Raw genomic sequence first — 16369 nt, 5'->3', positions numbered from 1 at the left:
CTCCCCAGCAATTCTTCTTCCCCAAATCATCAGGGAGATGGAGCTTCACAGACCTCTGGTGAAGTAAGTATCTTTCTCCTAAAACTATCTGATGCTTTCAGGGTTCTACATTTTAAAGTTTTGGTTTTTGTGCAAATGTATGGAGTAGGTGAGAAGTTTTGTTACATGTATGGTAATGTGTGGTAATCGAGTCAGGATATTTTGGGTGTCCATCACCTGAGTAGAGTACATTTTTTTAGGTATAGTCATCCTACTCTGCTACGAAATACTGAATTTACTCCTTCTGTTTTATTGTATGTTTGTTTGCACCCTTTAATCCAGTTCTTCTCATCCTCTCTCTTATCCCTCACCCATTCTTCCCGGTCTCTGTTACCTATTTTTCCACTCTCTCCCTTCATGTGTTCAAATTTTTTTAGTTCCCACATATAAGTGAGAATATAAGTCTTTCTGTGCCTGGCTTATTTCACTTAAGACAATGAAATGTTCATGTTGTCCATGTTGCTGCAAAAGGTGATTTCATTAGCAGCGGCATGATTTTTCTCTTTTTTTATGGCTGAATAGCATCCCATTGTGTATCATGTTTAAGTTTCTGACAAGGGCCTGCATCATTTGGGTTGCTGGAGTCAGACTCATGCTCTTTTTGGGTGTTTTTTACTTCAGACTCCGAGGCTTTCTGTGTTTTGTTTAAATGTTCTAAGTCTGAATGGTTCCTTTTATTTATGTTCATTTTCATTGTTAATAGCAAATTCAGCCTTCAGCTACGATCCAGGAAACACAGCAATGGCTGCTCAAAAACAGATTCTCTTCCTACACAAGACTGTTCTCTAATTTTTCAGGTATGTGTATGTGTGTGTGTATCTGTGCATGAGAATGTTTTGTTTTTGTTTCTGTGCTTTTATTAACTTTATATTTTTAAAATTTTGAAATAACTATGGATAGGAAGTTGCAAAGAAAAATGTACAGAGAAGTTCTTTATATCTATCCCCCAATAGGAATATCTTGTATTTTTATTATATGCTATTGAAGCCAGGCAGTTGACATTGGTTCAGTCAGCAGTTTTACCAGACTTACGTGACCTCATTTGTGTGTAGGTGTATATAGTTTTACATGATTTTTTTCATTTTAACTTTATTTTGAAATAATTTTTGTTTTACAGTAAGTTACAGAGCTAGTACAGTGATATTTCGGTGTACTCTTCACTCCGTTTCTCACATAATTATAGTACAATAGCAAAACCAGGAAACTGACATTGGCACAACGTATGTTATGGTATAGATATTTGTAACCACCACCACAATTAAGATGACAGGATTGTGCCATCACTACAAGGATCTCCCTCCTGCTACCCCTTCGGAGTCACACCCACACCCTTCCCCCACCATCCCTAGTCCTTGGCAACCACTTTACATTCTGTCTATAATTTTGTCATTTTGAGAATGTTATATAAATGCAATCATATAGTATATAGCCTTTTGAGATTGGCTTTTTTTCACTAGCATAACGGCCACCTAAGTTGTTGTGTTTATCAGTAGTTTAATCCTTTTTACTGCTAAGTAGTGTTTCATAGTCTGAGTGTACTCAATTACAGTTTTTATATACTTATGGGTAAGTTTTTTTTCTTGCACAGTAAGCTAAGGGAATGTTAAGAAGGAATTTTAAAAGGTATCAAGCACTGCTTCTCCAGGTAGTGCTATAGGAAACCTGTTTAGAGGGACAGTAATAGATAATGACAGGTGGGGCAGAGGTAGCATTTCCCAAATATATTTGGCTCTGGGACTCTTTTCCAACATGACCACCTAGTAACATGGCCTGGCCAAACATCCTGAGAAGTGCTGGATCACAGTAAAGTGGTAGTTAGCATTCCTTCACCTGCAGTGCAGTAGGGCCATTAAAACACAACTTTGTGAATCCCTTTAAGAGGACAGAACTTGTGTGTGCACACACTCAGCCTGAAGAAAAGCTTGATTTTGCTAAGAACATGGTTTCTTACTATGCCACGTATTGTAATGTTTGTGCAATGAGTAGTTATTCCCCGTGTACTTCTTTGTCTCTTTAAAGTTCCCTATGGAGGTCATTTGCTAGCTGGGGACTACATTTTTATATGATTAAGTAAAGCCTTTTATGTGTGAAAAACTAGAAATTGTAAAATTTCAGGGTCGGGGAGCTGGGGTTTGTCTTGCACTGTTGTATGGAAGGCAGATGAAAAGCATAGCACATAGAAAAAGCGCCGACATTTGGAACTGAAGGAGGCCCCACATTACTCCTTTTACATCAGGCAAATCCATGTTTCTATCTGGTGAGTTTTAATCCCTTTCGCTGTGAGCAGTGATCACATGGCGTGGCCTTCTGCCTTTTCCTTATCCTGGGGGCTTCTTCCAAGAAAGTGGGCGAGGAGCTAGCCATGGTACCCTTTGGGCACATCTCCTGAGTCACAGCACTGACAGTAGCATGGTGAGGAGGACAGTGAGTCTTCTTGCTCTGATCCTTGGGGGCATTCACATTTCAGGAAGGGTTGTACATTGCAGTTATCTGTCCAGTTCTCTGTATGGGTTAAGGGTGTGCACACACATACACAGTACTCTCTGGTCACAACTGTGAGGTGCATGTAGTAAGCCCTAGTAGAGAGATGAAAGAGAGCCTCTTTGCTTACCTGACTCTATAAAATGACTCTATTAATGCTCATGTCTCATGGGAGATGTGCTTCTCTGATCTTTGTTTTACAGACTAGAAATTTAGTAGGCTATTGCATTTGAGCCTTTAAAAAATAGAAAGATGACTCCATTATCTTCTACATATGTAAGTGGCTATTTATCATATGGAAGTCAAGCCTTCATCCCAAAGTTCATCTTAATTCCCCCAATAAACTGTATCCTGGGTGTTAGAGAATAAAACAAAAGATTATGGATACATTCAGACATTAAAAAGTAGAGAGAATATGATGAACTCCCATGCAGCCATCTCCTACCTTCAAAAACTACCAGCATTTGGTCAGTCTTGCTCTCCACTATTTCCTCTCCTGCCTTCTGTTGTATTTCAAAGCAAATCCTAGATGCCATATCATTTATGCTTGAAATACTGAATAGTAGTTCATGGTGTGTATGTACTCAGGTATGGCTTTTTTATACTTATATGTAAGTTTTTTTTTCTTGTATGGTAAGCGAAGGGAGTGTTCAGATAGAATTTTTAAAAGTGTCAAACACTGCTTCTCTAGGTGGTGCTATAGGAAACCTGTATAGAGAGACATTTACACTTGTAAATGACATCGTAAGTAGGATGTGCTTGGGGGAAATCTTAGGGTATAATGTGTGATTCTCTGCCATTCTTCTGTTAAAATTAGCTGCTGTGACAGAGTTGTTTATGTTATAAAATTTAACATGTTTGACTTTACATTGCACGTTTCAGAATAAAGAGGCCCAGTCCTAGTTCGGCTACCAACTCTTACAGACTTTAGGCAAGTCCCACAAACTCTGGACTTCCATTTCCTTTTTTTTAAAATTAAAGATTGACTGGCCCGGGTGATCTCAGGGTTTGTTTCTGTGGGGTGGGTTAGAATCATGTTTCTTCACATAGCCACAACCCAGTCACTAAATAAGGTAGATGAGTGAAATCCTATATCGGGAAGAGTTCTTTAGGCCCTGCTCTCATTGATTTGATTCATCAGCCTCAGGACTTCTAAGCTCCTTCTTGATACAGGACATGGAAAAGCCAGCATTTTCCTTGGCTCTGAAGGACAGGTGTCTGTTTGTCTTCTTATATTGTTCATGTGTATGTGTGTATTCAGGATATCTGATTATTTTGAAGGACATTGGACTGCATGAAGACAGATGCCTGTAAAGCAGTTCTGTTCTTTTTCCATTTATTTGAGAAAAATATTTTTGCTCTTCTCTAGGTGCCGACTTATTAAAACTGACAAAGGAGGATTTAGTTCAAATTTGTGGTGCAGCCGATGGAATTCGGCTCTATAATTCACTGAAGTCAAGGTAAAATACTGTGAACTGTTTTGCTTGAAATAAGAATGTACCTTTCTTCGCGTGGGGAATTTGGGCAGAATGTGTTTCCACGCTAGGTTGGCGTGTGTGCCTGTGTGCGCCATCGAGCATTGGCAGCATTGTGCTCACAAGAAGACTGTTTTGTGTACACCTTCAGGGCAGGCCCAGATATGATGCAGGCACTGATGAGGGCAGAGGTAGACTGTAAGACTGGTAGAAATGCACATGGGCAGTACTGATTTCTTGAAGACGACTGGGTTTGTTGCCAAGAAAACAAAACTTCTAATTTAGGTGAGCTATACAGAATCTATGGTTTTCAAGGTCATGACTATTACTAAACAGTTATTAAAAATGTAAACTAATTGTGAATTAAAATGACAGAAACTGTAAATTGTGCTGGCTTGTAAGAACCATTTACTATCATTGCTCTTTCTATACTTGTGGTGTGAGAATTCCATTAAAATTGAATCTTACTGATTTTTAATTTGCTGACTTAATCTTGAAACTTAAATTTACCAGCATCTGACAGACCATCTCAATGGTTTAGAGTCTGGATCATCATATTAGACCACCTGTGATAGTTGGTGTGAGGTGTGTGGTTTTTATATTTTTATTAGTAAATTACTTTGTATAACGAAATAACATTATAAAGTTCTCATAAGGAAATAGAACTTAGATTCCTGTAGTTGTCATATTTGTACATGTGTAAGGCAGCTTTCTCTCCCAGGCTCATCAGTGGCATCTTCTGATTGCAGGTCGGTTAGACCCCGTTTAACCATCTATGTCTGCCGGGAGCAGCCAAGCAGCACAGTGCTGCAAGGGCAGCAGCAAGCTGCAAGCAGTGCAAGCGAGAATGGCAGTGGGGCACCCTATGGTAGGTATTGAGGGCATCTCAATTCTGTCACTTCTGAGACTGTCAGACAGAAACGGAAAGGACTCGATTGAGCAGGCTTTGGAGAACTCTTGCTGTGTTAGGAATGCCAAGTTGCTCATGTGGGAGCCTTGACAGCAATGAGAGGTGGCAGCTCTAGGGTGAAGTCCTTGGGAGAAGAGGAAACTGGCATTCTTTCTCAGTCATTGCAGCCACACTATGGGTCTGTTTTTCATGTGGCCCTTCATGCCGGAAATATCTAACAAGTGGAAAAACTAGCTTGAATGCATTGAGTTCTGGCTTTTTTTTTTTTTTGGTCAGATTTACTGAAATGATGAATATAACACTGGCAGCTTAACAAAAAAGCAGGAGGGTTTTTCTTTCCTTTTTCTTTTTTTTTTTTTTTTTTTTTTTCAATTTTCCTGACTAGGTATGGGGAGAACTCTTAAAGCATAACATATGTGCAACAGTGCCTGCATGTAATAGTCCTAAGTGTGTGGACTTGTCACTGACAAGTGTTCGGCCAGCATTGTGCACCTTGTGTGGCGCGTCTGGTGCCGTGTTTTTATGTCACTGTAAATAATACTACCCAGTACGTTATCTTGGGAGGGCTTCTCATCCTGAGCATTTAATTGTACGGTATAGTGCTGGATTAGGACAGAGATAATCTTGGCTTCTCCCTCTTCTCACCTCTAAATATGGCCCTTAAAAAAAGCAAGCATTTTAAAAGGCATATATTTTCTCATTTATTGTATGGATATATGGTAACATTTCCTTCTTTCCATACTCTGAAGTAGAACAAAGGCAACATGCTCAGAACTTTAAAAAAAAAAAGATGTGTTAATGGCATTCAGAGATGCAGTTATTTGCCCTAAGAATAGGTAGAGCTCTGAAAAATGTCTTGTGGTTTGAATTTTACTGAAAAATTGGAAGGATAGCATCACTACTGTGAACTTTTCTATTTGGTATTATTTTGACTTCAAAAGCTCTGAATTTTGAGATTAAGTATACAAATTCTTAAAGGATAAAAATTTAAAGGAGATCTCCATGTATCATCAAGAGCTTATACATCACTTAGATATGGCCAAGATTATAATATTTTGGAAGGTGTATTCTCAAACATGAGTGTTTGTGGAGGGATATGGGGAAATATTGGATATTTTCCCATAATCAGCAAACTTTTTCTGTAAAAGGTCAGGTAGTAAATATTTCCATCTCTTTAGATCATACATAGGGTCTCTCACATTCAACTCTGTGATTGTAGTGCTAAAATAGCCATAGACAATATGTAAATTGTAGATAAGGCTGTTCCAGTAAAACTTTATTTAAAAAAAAAAAAAAAAAAAACAAGTGGAGGGCAGGAATTGGCCCATATGGGCTGTGGTTTGGTGACACCTGCTCTAGATCATTTCTATATTCTTACTGTAATTTTAGTTCCAGCTTCTTTTATGTAATGGAAAATTCTGGGTTTCTATACTCACAGACCCCTTGTTTGGGGAAGCAAAGTTCTCAGTAATGATATTCCTGATCCATGTCTGGCTTTAATCAGTAATTGAGCAGGACGTACAAGAGTGAGACTCACTACAGATGTGCACTGTGCAGATGTCTGCTGATAAGTTCTGTGTAGCAAAAATGCAGAACACTGGAATGTGGCTGGGGCTTTCTGTAAGGAAGCATCACACTTCATTGTTTATATTAGCTTTTCATATAGTATCTTTTATTTAAAATTTTTTGTGGGGGAGGGGCATATACAGATAGCTTTTATTCCTTAGGATAAATTCCTAGTAGTAGGATTACTGGATCAAAAACTATAATGCTTAACTGGGCGTGCTGGCTCACGCCTGTAATCCCAGCACTTTGGGAGGCCTAACTGGGCAGACTGCGTGAGCCCAGGAGTTTGAGACAGCTTGGGCAACATGGTGAAACCCTGTCTCTACAAATAATAATAATAATAATAATAATAATAATAATAAAAATTAGCCAGGCATGGTGGCGTGTGCCCCCACCATAGTCCCAGCTACTTAGGAGGCTGAGGTGGGAGGATTGCTTGAGCCTGGGAGGCAGAGGCTACAGTGAGCTGTGATTGTGTCACTGCACTCCAGCCTGGGCAACAAAAAAGGACACTGTCTTAAAAAAATAAACAAAAAGAACTATGACTCTTTTAGGGTTCTTTTTGTATATTGCTAGAAATACATGAAGTATATATTATTTTTAAAAACAGCTTTCTTCAGGCATAATTTACATACCATAAAGTCCTCCCATTGTAAGTATATAATGGTATTTTAGCCAATTTAGAGAGTTTGGCAGCCATTGTCAAAATTCAGTTTGAGTTCCATTATTTCAAGAAGATCCCCCATGTCCATTTGCAGCCAATTCCTGTTTTTAAATTTTGAATACATGAAACTATATTCATTGAATAAAAATATGAAGAAAAATTCAAACCTCAAATCTTTTTGTCCAGGGATTTCTGTTAATGTTTATTAAATTATATTTGTGGATATAAATAATGTATTCTTACGTTTTAGATTGGTAGTTCAAGATTTCAAGGTAGTAAGATGGGGGAAAGAAATAGTTTATTCCCATTTAAAATGTTTTTTTACTTTTTTGGTACTTTGAAAGGTGTGACCTTCGTACAGATCCTACAGATCAGGCAGAAAACAGATCAAAGATTACTGTTAAAATGCTTTTCTTTTTTTTTTTTTAATTTCAGTTTATCATGCAATCTACTTGGAAGAAATGATTGCCTCAGAAGTTGCTCGAAAACTTGCGCTGGTGTTTAATATCCCTCTCCACCAAATTAATCAGGTTTACAGACAGGGTCCCACCGGTATTCACATTCTTGTTAGTGATCAGGTAAATCAAATCATTTGTTTTTCCTTTTCAGACTGGTATTTACTTTTATACATGTAATTGTAGAACTGTAGAAAAATTCTGTGACCTCTTTTGAAAATACTTATGAGAATCATTTTCAGAGAGTTGGGAATCACTTTGGAAGAACTTATAACCAAGAGTTTCAGGCATCCTAGTGATAATATGGAATACAAGCCAAGGAAAACTGGCTTAGCCTCCCCCCAGCCCTTTAGGATGCAGCCAATCACTGGGGCACTCTAGGGATAGTGGCAGGCTTTGGCCCTTTTTATGAGGTGAGTCACTGGATGTGTTTTCCTTTTGTCTATTATTTGATGACTAATTTAAAAAAACATGTAAGATATATAATTTTTCCCCTAGTGATTGGTGGCAAGTAATAATAGAAGAGCACTTTATGCAATTTTTGTTCGAGTCATCATCCACTGGAGCCGGCAGGGAATGTGCCCCTGTGGGTCACATGGGTGACTGACCAGGTCTCTCAGGGACCATTATGGACAGGCATAGTGAACACAAGGCAGTGCAGCACGTGTGCATCTTTGCTGCCTCACACTGCCTTCATGAATTATCGTTTTGGCCATTGAGTCCTGTGTTTGTTTGAGAAGAATATTTACTGTTTTAAAATCATTTTAAGAAACGACAGTTGGATCTTAATTGTACTTACGCATTTACTTTATCCTTCCAGATGGTTCAGAATTTTCAAGATGAGAGTTGTTTTTTATTCTCCACAGTAAAAGGTACTTTGCATGTGTGTGTGTCTTAAAATGCTGGAATCATGAGAGATGGTGTGTGCCTCTAATTAGTGCCTCTCGTGTTTATTCTTTAAAATGATTGCTTTACTCATTTTAAGAAGAAAGTTTGATAAATGAGAATATTTCTAGTGGTTGTAACAGAAATTAGCATATAAGGAAGAGGAGTCAGTCTTTCTAGATGACTGGAAAAAAAAATCTCAATTCATTCAGCCAACGTCTTACTGAGCACTTTGTGTCAGACACCGTGCTTCTGTCGCTCAGTGGATCTATTGAATAAAACAGAATCCATGAAACTCCTATTGGGGAAAGCAAACCAAAATTGGCCAAGAGATACACAAAATTCCCAATATGTTAAGTTCCATGAAGGAACAGGAAAGTGTGGGGGTACTTATGGATAAGGGAGATCTGGGTTGAGGGGAATATGAAACTGTAAGGCAAGGCTTCTCTGAGGAGGTGTTATTAATCCTGAGACTTGAAGAATGAGAAGAAGCGGGAGCTGGCCATTGGATTAGCATCCCCAGGCAACGTGGGGCTGTGTGCAAAGAAAACACCTGGCTTCTTGGAAAGCCTGGCAGTGGGCCATGTAGGTGCCATGCAGTGTGTGAGGGTGAGCGGATCAGGGCAAATCAAAGCAGGAGGCCGGGTCTGGCATGCGGGGACCGGATGATGATGGTAGTTCGGATTTACTTGAAATGCATTGGGTTGTCACTGAAGTTGTTTAAACAAAGGAGTAGTAATGTGACTAGATTTTTCTTTCACTTTCACAACTCTGTGGAGACAGATGAGAAGGTGGCAAAACGAGGCAGGAGATATCCAGGTGAAAGGTGATGGTATCTTACACGTTTATAGACAGGGTCCCAGTGGGCTCCACTTTTGAGGGAGGAATAGTTCTGACACCTTATTTTCTGTGGAAAGTAACTGGGCAGATGGTGATCTCATTGAAGAGGTAAGTATGGTTGGGGTAAATCAACCAAGAGTTTGATTTTGGATATGTAGAAATGTCAAGTAGGCAGTTGACTATTACCAGTCTGGGGCTCAGAGAAGAGGCCTGGGCTTGAGATGTAAATTTGGAAACCTTCAGCATATCAGCAGTGACTCAAAGCTGTAGAAGTTGTTAAGGTCATTTAGGGAGAGAATATGAAAAGAGCCAGGACCAGGCTTAGGTGGCTCCAACATTAAAGAGGAGGGATTCCTAAATGTAAAATTATTTGAGAAGAGATCATACATTCATAGACTGTTTTAAAAGTCAGGTGAGCTAAGATCCAAATCCGGTCTTAGCACAAAAGCTGCCCCTAGAAGAGGGAGATGTCATGTGTGTCAGGTGTCCCCAGACTACTGAAATACTGATTTTATTTTGCGCCTCACATGTTGCGTATGCCATCAGGTTACCTGCAAGGCTGAGTTTTAACTCTGAACTGGTTCACTCTTTCAGAAACATCTTTAGCCTAGTACCCTTCTGCTCAGTCTTTTGTTTTCACAGCAGTACAGTTTTTACCTTGCATAACTGACATTGTCTGAAAAAGAAGACATATACTATAATTGCATAGTTTTGTTTTGTGAAACCAGCAGACATTTTTTGGTATTAGAAATCATAGGATCTCCCCTCTAATCTCAATTTACTGTTTTGTTTTTTTTTTTAAACTTTGTCGTCATGAGAAAAATCATTTTTTTATGAATGCCTATATTGCTTCTCACTATTTACTGAGAAACACTAGGCAAAAGGAATGATACAGTTTTAAAATGTTTGAAATCTCTGTGAGTAGCTCAGAAATTTTTCTGGAAAAGGTAGATGTACACATTTGCATTTACTCCCTCAGGTCCTCTGCCCTGACACAGTATATTTCACCTGTTCTCCTTCTAGCTCTTGCTCCCCTTATGGACAGCACTATTATTGTGTGTCTTGATAGATGTCCCCCTACCCCCAGAACTGGCAGACAGTGTTGGAATGCGGGCGTTGATAGTGGGCCAGGCTTCGCAGAATGTCTAAAAAGGGAATGTGTACATGAAGTTTTTTGGGGGAAGAGGAGCTAGAGCAAGTTAATCTGCTTGTTTCTCTAGAATCATTTAAAGGTAACCTCTGAATTGGGAAGGGAGGTTGTAGTTGGCAGGGAGTTTTCCATTTAATAGGCTTAATTTCCTAAGCCTGACTGAAGAAATACTGTCTTTCCTTTTTCTGCAGCTGAAAGTAGTGATGGCATCCACATAATTTTGAAGTGATGTCTTATATAGACTGAACTGTATTCAGTACCAAATAGTCACGCTTAAAAGTGTGTGAAGACTGAATCCAAGAAGTCTTGGGATTGGATTTTACCATATGAAATGTTTCATATTGAAAACACAAGATGACCTTTCTAATGAGCTGTATGAGAGGTGAATCTCCTCACTGTCACTGCCATAGCCAAGCATCCTCATGAGAGTGAGCACATCGGCACAGCATGCATCCAGCTCTGGAGGCCACGGTGCAGGCATAGCTGCCTGCTGCTCTGGCAGAGGCCAGTAAATACAGTTCCTAGAAGCAGCCTTTGCTGTCTTTTTACACTGTATGCGGTTTGGAAATGAATGTAGAAACTTACTGTGGGCATTTACCTTTCTGTGCCAGTTTGGCTTTTATTGCCTGAACCTTATGCTGACCTGGAGAGGAGATGGGGGACAGTGCTGTTGTGGGGCCAGCAGTGAATCTGTATGCGGAGAGTTGTGTTGTGCTGATGTGGCCGTTGGTGGTCAGGTAAGAGGCTCGGCACCTTCTTGGAAGAAATCATGTCTGAGGGTGTACGTTTGATATGATCATGCCAGATTGGAGAAGATCCAAGCCAGGAAGATGGGCTTGAAGCAAACTGCATTATCAGGAGTACCTTGGTGAGAGGATCAGTGTAAATCCTAATAGGTACAAAGACTTTTGTGTTTTGGCTTTGTCACAGATTTATTGAAAAACTTTTTTGCTTCTGCTTCCATTTTTAGCATTTTAGTTTCTGGTTTTCATTTTTGGAGATTCCTTGCCTTTTAAACTCGTGGTTTTTCTCTCATTTTCTTCCCTCTCTCCCTCCATCTCTGACCACCCCCACCCTAACCCCCCACCCCCACCATCCTATTAAACATTTTTAAAGCCCTACCCCAGACATTGGAAATAGGTGACCCAAGTAGGGGGAGAAAGTATTATTGTTGATAGCTTCTGACTAGGTGTTAAGGGATCTTCATTATGAACAAGATGAATTTTTTTCTGGAAACACTAGATGTTATCAATCAAACACTAAAATGTACCATACAAATCCCTTAAGCCTCTCAAATATTGAGCTTTAGTACAATCATGGATAGACATTCTGGTGATGATTTAGGGGCTTTTTATACACCACATACTAGCTTCTTTCTCTATAAGAGTGCCTCTTTCATAAAACCAAATGCTTGTCTGCTAGCATACTTTTCAAAGGGAATCCACTGTTTTCTCACTTTCCTCCCATATCTCCGTCCTTCATCCAAAACCTTCCCAGAATCCATCAGCAAGCATGTTTGAGGCCTGTGGTGTAGGGGACTGAATTTTTTTTTTAACTTCTATTCCATTTTAATTGTAGGATATCTTTGTCCATATACCCAGGTGTCCTGATTTGAATGTACTATTTGATCCTCATTGTGTTCAGGCAAAAAATAGGAAATGAGTAATTTTGAGTTTGAAATCTCTCCCAGAAGACAAACTACTTCAGTGAGTAAAAGCTTTGACATTTTATGTTTTATTCATAAAGGGGGTTAATTATTTGCTACAAAGAAGCACGATCTATTTTCATCATCGATTTGAAAATATCTGTAACTCCTATAGATCCTATAGGCAGAGAGTTTTCCTTTCTGACTTTTTCCCTTTGCTTTCGTGTGACCACATGTTTTCTGTACCAGTCACTGGGGAAAGAAGTGAGTTTATCTCGTTTGTTTTAAAAGTTTTGCTTGTCTATTTAGCATTCCTTTTTGGGTCTCAAGATTTATGGAACAATAAATGTCATTTAATGCTGTGTGCTTATTTTGAATTCCTCATCAGGTTTTAGAAGCGGGGTAAAAATACTTAGATGCTTATCAGACTTGAAATTATACTGAGTGGCATTGAACGTGAGTTTGTCCCAGTGAAACAGGCTAAATAAATTTTGGCACCAGCAAATTTGTTACTTTGTTTTTTTAATAGTAGGATGTACACATTTCAGTATAATAAATGTTTTCTGATTGTTTTGCAAATGTGTGTCTCATTTAAAATCCCAGTTCCTGCTACTGTCACTTCGTGTCATAGAATCAAGGAGTTTCCCTGTGTGTATTCTGAGCCAGTCTAAATGTAGTAAGAGGTTAGGCTCATAGTTTTTTCCTTTTCAGTTTATTTTCTGAAAGCTGATGCAACTGAGGATATGTTGTTATTCCATTAACTAACTAACTAACTAACTAACTAACTAAACTATTCCAGACTTTAAAAGGAAGCAAACCTGATTTTCTTTTTTTTTTTTTTTTTTGAGACGGAGTCTGGCTCTGTCACCCAGGCTGGAGTGCAGTGGCGCAATCTCGGCTCACTGCAAGCTCTGCCTCCCGGGTTCACGCCATTCTTCTGCCTCAGTCTCCTGAGTAGCTGGGACTACAGGCACCCGCCACTATGCCCGGCTAATTTTTTTTGTATTTTTAGTAGAGACGGGGTTTCACTGTGTTAGCCAGGATGGTCTTGATCTCCTGATCTCACGATCCGCCCGCCTCTGCCTCCCAAAGTGCTGGGATTACAGGCGTGAGCCACCGTGCCCAGCCTGCAAACCTGATTTTCTTACAAGAGGTTCTCCTGTTTTGTAAATGAGGCCATGGATCATTGAGCATCAAGTCCAATAGCTGTGACTGATGATAGGTTGTATCCTGGCTCAAAAGAAATCAATCATGTATAGAAGGCTCTGGTGGTTTGTTTTGTTTGTTTGTTTGTTTTGTTTTGAGATGATGATGGAGTCTCACTGTTGTCTCCTGGGCTGGATGGAGTGCAATGGCACAATCTCGGCTCACTGCCACCTCCGCCTCCTGGGTTCCAGCATTTCTCCTGCTTCAGCCTCCCGAGTAGCTGAGATTACAGGTGCCCAGCACCACGCCCGGCTAATTTTTGTATTTTCAGTAGAGATGGGGTTTTACTGTGTTGGCCAGGCTGGTCTCAAACTCCTGACCTCAGGTGATCCACCCGCCTTGGCCTCCCCAAGTGCTGGGATTATAGGCATGAACCACCGTGGCCAGCCTTAAGTTAATTTTTTTTAATAGAAACTAAACTAATTCATAATCACTGAAGCAAGTCTGTTATATGCTCATTTATTGAAGTTGCTTCCTGCATCAGTCCTCCTCCCCCATCATCTCTTCCACAACAAACAGTGGGTATAAATGTATATTTAACTAACTGCTATGGTATCCACACAATTTTTAGACCAAGGAATACTGGAATATATCATAAGGCAATAAAATGACTTTAATGCTTACTCTGATGATAATTGTGCTAAGTCCGTTTATGGGGAGATTATATATATATATAATCTGCTTCTCTTCCTAGAATGCAGCTGACATAATATATCCTTAAAAACACTTCTAAAACTGCCTAATAAAGGTATTGGTAGTCATGGGAACACATCTTGCTTTTGCCGTTTCACTTTTAAGTTTCTCATGAGCTCTGGCCCTTCAGTTTGGGGGAGTGGTTGTTTGGAAGGGCCAGCCACCATGAACACCTAAGTTTACAATGAAGGTGGTGATGACTGATTGACAGGTTCTTAATAAAGATCATAAATATGGACAGCATGGAGCAAGAATGAACCACAGCAGAGAGTAGGGTCATTTTATCAGATTTCAGATAACATCAGGAAGGTCTGCATTTGGAAAATGGTTTTGCTTGGATGTGTCTGCCATAAAATCATAGCAATAAAACCCTCTGACTTAATTTTTTTTAAAGCATTGCAATGGTTTATTCAATTTTATGAGTCTAAAAGGTACCAACACTTACTGATCTGAGTTTTAAGTGTGTAAAACTTTTGAGTAGCTATGGTGTAACCTGATTTTTAAGATTTCAAAATAAGCTTGAAAAAAAATCACATCCATTTTACATGCATCCATTCATTACTTCTAATTGATTATACTACAGATAACTTAAGCCTTAGTTCTTTCTCTTTAAGGTTCCCCCCAGTTTTACGAGAGGCATGGACATAATTAGCTTTTTTCCTTTAGTAAAAATGTGTTATGTGCTGTAGCATACACCAGAGCTTCTACTTTCCAATCAGGCAACACAGACTCCGAGCTGCTTTTGTTTTTGGTCCCTGGAGGTGTATATGACAAGTTGACAGAAACAAAAAGGTGAAGACCCTGCTCCACCCAGTATAGAGTCCTCTTTTCTTTGGTGTCTCATGGAAACCTATTAACATGCCTTCCACATAAGTCTCTATATATAAAACTATCAGGCATTATGAATTAATTTGCAGTACAGTCACTTTGATAAAGTTGCTATTTATCTTCAAAGTGGAAAAGTCCTGCTAATCAAAATGGAATTGTGAATTAAAGTAGGCCACTGGCTTAAGTATCAGGTAGAAAATCAACAGCTTATTTTTTCTGCTCAGTTTGTGCTAACACTGATGGTCTTTTTGAGGAATGCTGAGTATGCCAAGGGTAGAACTTTCGTACCTAGGTAGGTACCAATCTCTTAAGAGATCCAGGTTTCTGGCATGGTCCTAGCTGCATTGAGACCACTTGTCATGTGTTAACTGACACAAGGCTTTGATTTGATTGTTTCACAGCAGAATAAAGGTGAAAACTATCACCAGAGTAACTGCAATCCATACAGAAGTCTTTTACCTGTAAATGCCTTTCCCAATGGAGAATCAACAGATTGGGTGATGGTGGAGTCGGTCAGGAAGACTCAGGTCTTCTAGAGGAAAGGATGCCTCATCACCCCTTGGGCCCAGGCAGCTGCTGTCAGAGAATGACACAGCACCTGCACAGTCGCTGTCCACTTCCTGCCACTGCTGTCGGTGGGGTGACGGGAGCAAAGTAGGCGTGGACTTTGACATGAGGGAGCTGAGCCTGGAAGGATGAAGAAAAAAGTGGAGTCTTTACACATTACTATTTTTAGGATTATAGTCATAATTCTAGAAAAACCTATAGTCCTCTATTAAAAATCTTCACCTTAGTTGAAGTAGAATTTATGCTATAGATTAGAGCTACTCCTGTTACTCCCCGCACCGTCTGCCCCCCATTAGTACCTTCTAAGGATAAGTGAAAACACTTACGTTGATACGTTTCCACCCAGGGGTAGTAACCAGCCCTGTTTACAAACTAAGTGAATGTTCTCTACAGCTGTAGCACCCTGGATGGGGCTGTTAAATGCAGTTGCCTAAACTTAAAGCATAATCAAGAAAACAGTGTAGGTGAACTATATGGAAAAAGCCAAATTCTGTTAAGCTCTCTTACCTGGAAATTAGCCAAGAGAGTTCTACCTCCCACTCATAATGACCTTAAATTGCTTGCCTTTACCATAGGCCTTTTTTCTTTTTTTGAGACAGAGTTTCACTCTTGTCGCCCAGGCTGGAGTGCAATGGCGCAATCTCAGCTCACTGCAACCTCCACCTCCCGGGTTCAAGCGATTCTCCTGCCTCAGCCTCCCAATTAGCTGGGATTACAGGCACGCAGCCAGCTAATTTTTATATTATTAGTAGAGACGGTTTCACCATGTTGGTCAGCTGGTCTCGAACCCTTGACCTTGTGATCCGCCCGCCTCGGCCTCCCAAAGTGCTGGGATTAGAGTCGTGAGCCACCGCGCCCATCCCAACATAGGCTTTCTTATAAGGGCTACGATCACCAGACTATGTGGAATCTCCAGCCCAGACCCAACTCAAGTTGAATCTTCCAGGGTGGAGTCTAAGCAAGAA

The 16369-nt window shown here is 39.8% G+C and overlaps 2 protein-coding genes across 34 annotated transcripts in view; one reads left to right on the top strand and one right to left on the bottom strand.

Moving 5' to 3' along the window:
• Positions 1–12689, top strand: part of UBP1 (upstream binding protein 1) — a 53064-nt gene extending 40375 nt beyond the window's left edge. For 6 of the 8 annotated variants that reach the window (XM_047448847.1, XM_047448846.1, NM_001128161.2 and 3 more), the window contains 7 exons: positions 9–63; positions 743–836; positions 3890–3980; positions 4745–4863; positions 7571–7713; positions 8411–8462; positions 10657–12689. In XM_047448847.1, the coding sequence (XP_047304803.1) occupies positions 9–63; positions 743–836; positions 3890–3980; positions 4745–4863; positions 7571–7713; positions 8411–8462; positions 10657–10694 (592 nt within the window). In that variant the 3' untranslated portion in view covers positions 10695–12689. Of the gene's footprint in view, positions 1–8; positions 64–742; positions 837–3889; positions 3981–4146; positions 4281–4508; positions 4569–4744; positions 4864–7570; positions 7714–8410; positions 8463–10656 lie in introns of those variants that run through there. The other 2 variants (XR_007095724.1, XM_047448848.1) reach the window with 2 other exon arrangements.
• Positions 1–16369, bottom strand: part of FBXL2 (F-box and leucine rich repeat protein 2) — a 145674-nt gene that overhangs the window by 21674 nt on the left and 107631 nt on the right. For 18 of the 26 annotated variants that reach the window (NR_146122.2, NR_146121.2, NR_146130.2 and 15 more), the window contains one exon: positions 12933–15524. Coding sequence is in view for 10 of the 26 variants with exons in the window: in NM_001349319.2 (NP_001336248.1) it covers positions 15417–15524 (108 nt within the window). In the remaining 16 variants the exon portion in view is untranslated. Of the gene's footprint in view, positions 1–12932; positions 15525–16369 lie in introns of those variants that run through there. The other 8 variants (NR_146123.2, NR_146132.2, NR_146129.2 and 5 more) reach the window with 1 other exon arrangement.

Source organism: Homo sapiens, chromosome 3 (genome assembly GCF_000001405.40).
Source record: "Homo sapiens chromosome 3, GRCh38.p14 Primary Assembly".
Taxonomy (NCBI): Eukaryota; Metazoa; Chordata; class Mammalia; order Primates; family Hominidae; genus Homo; species Homo sapiens.
This window is presented reverse-complemented; position numbering and strand designations above follow the sequence as displayed.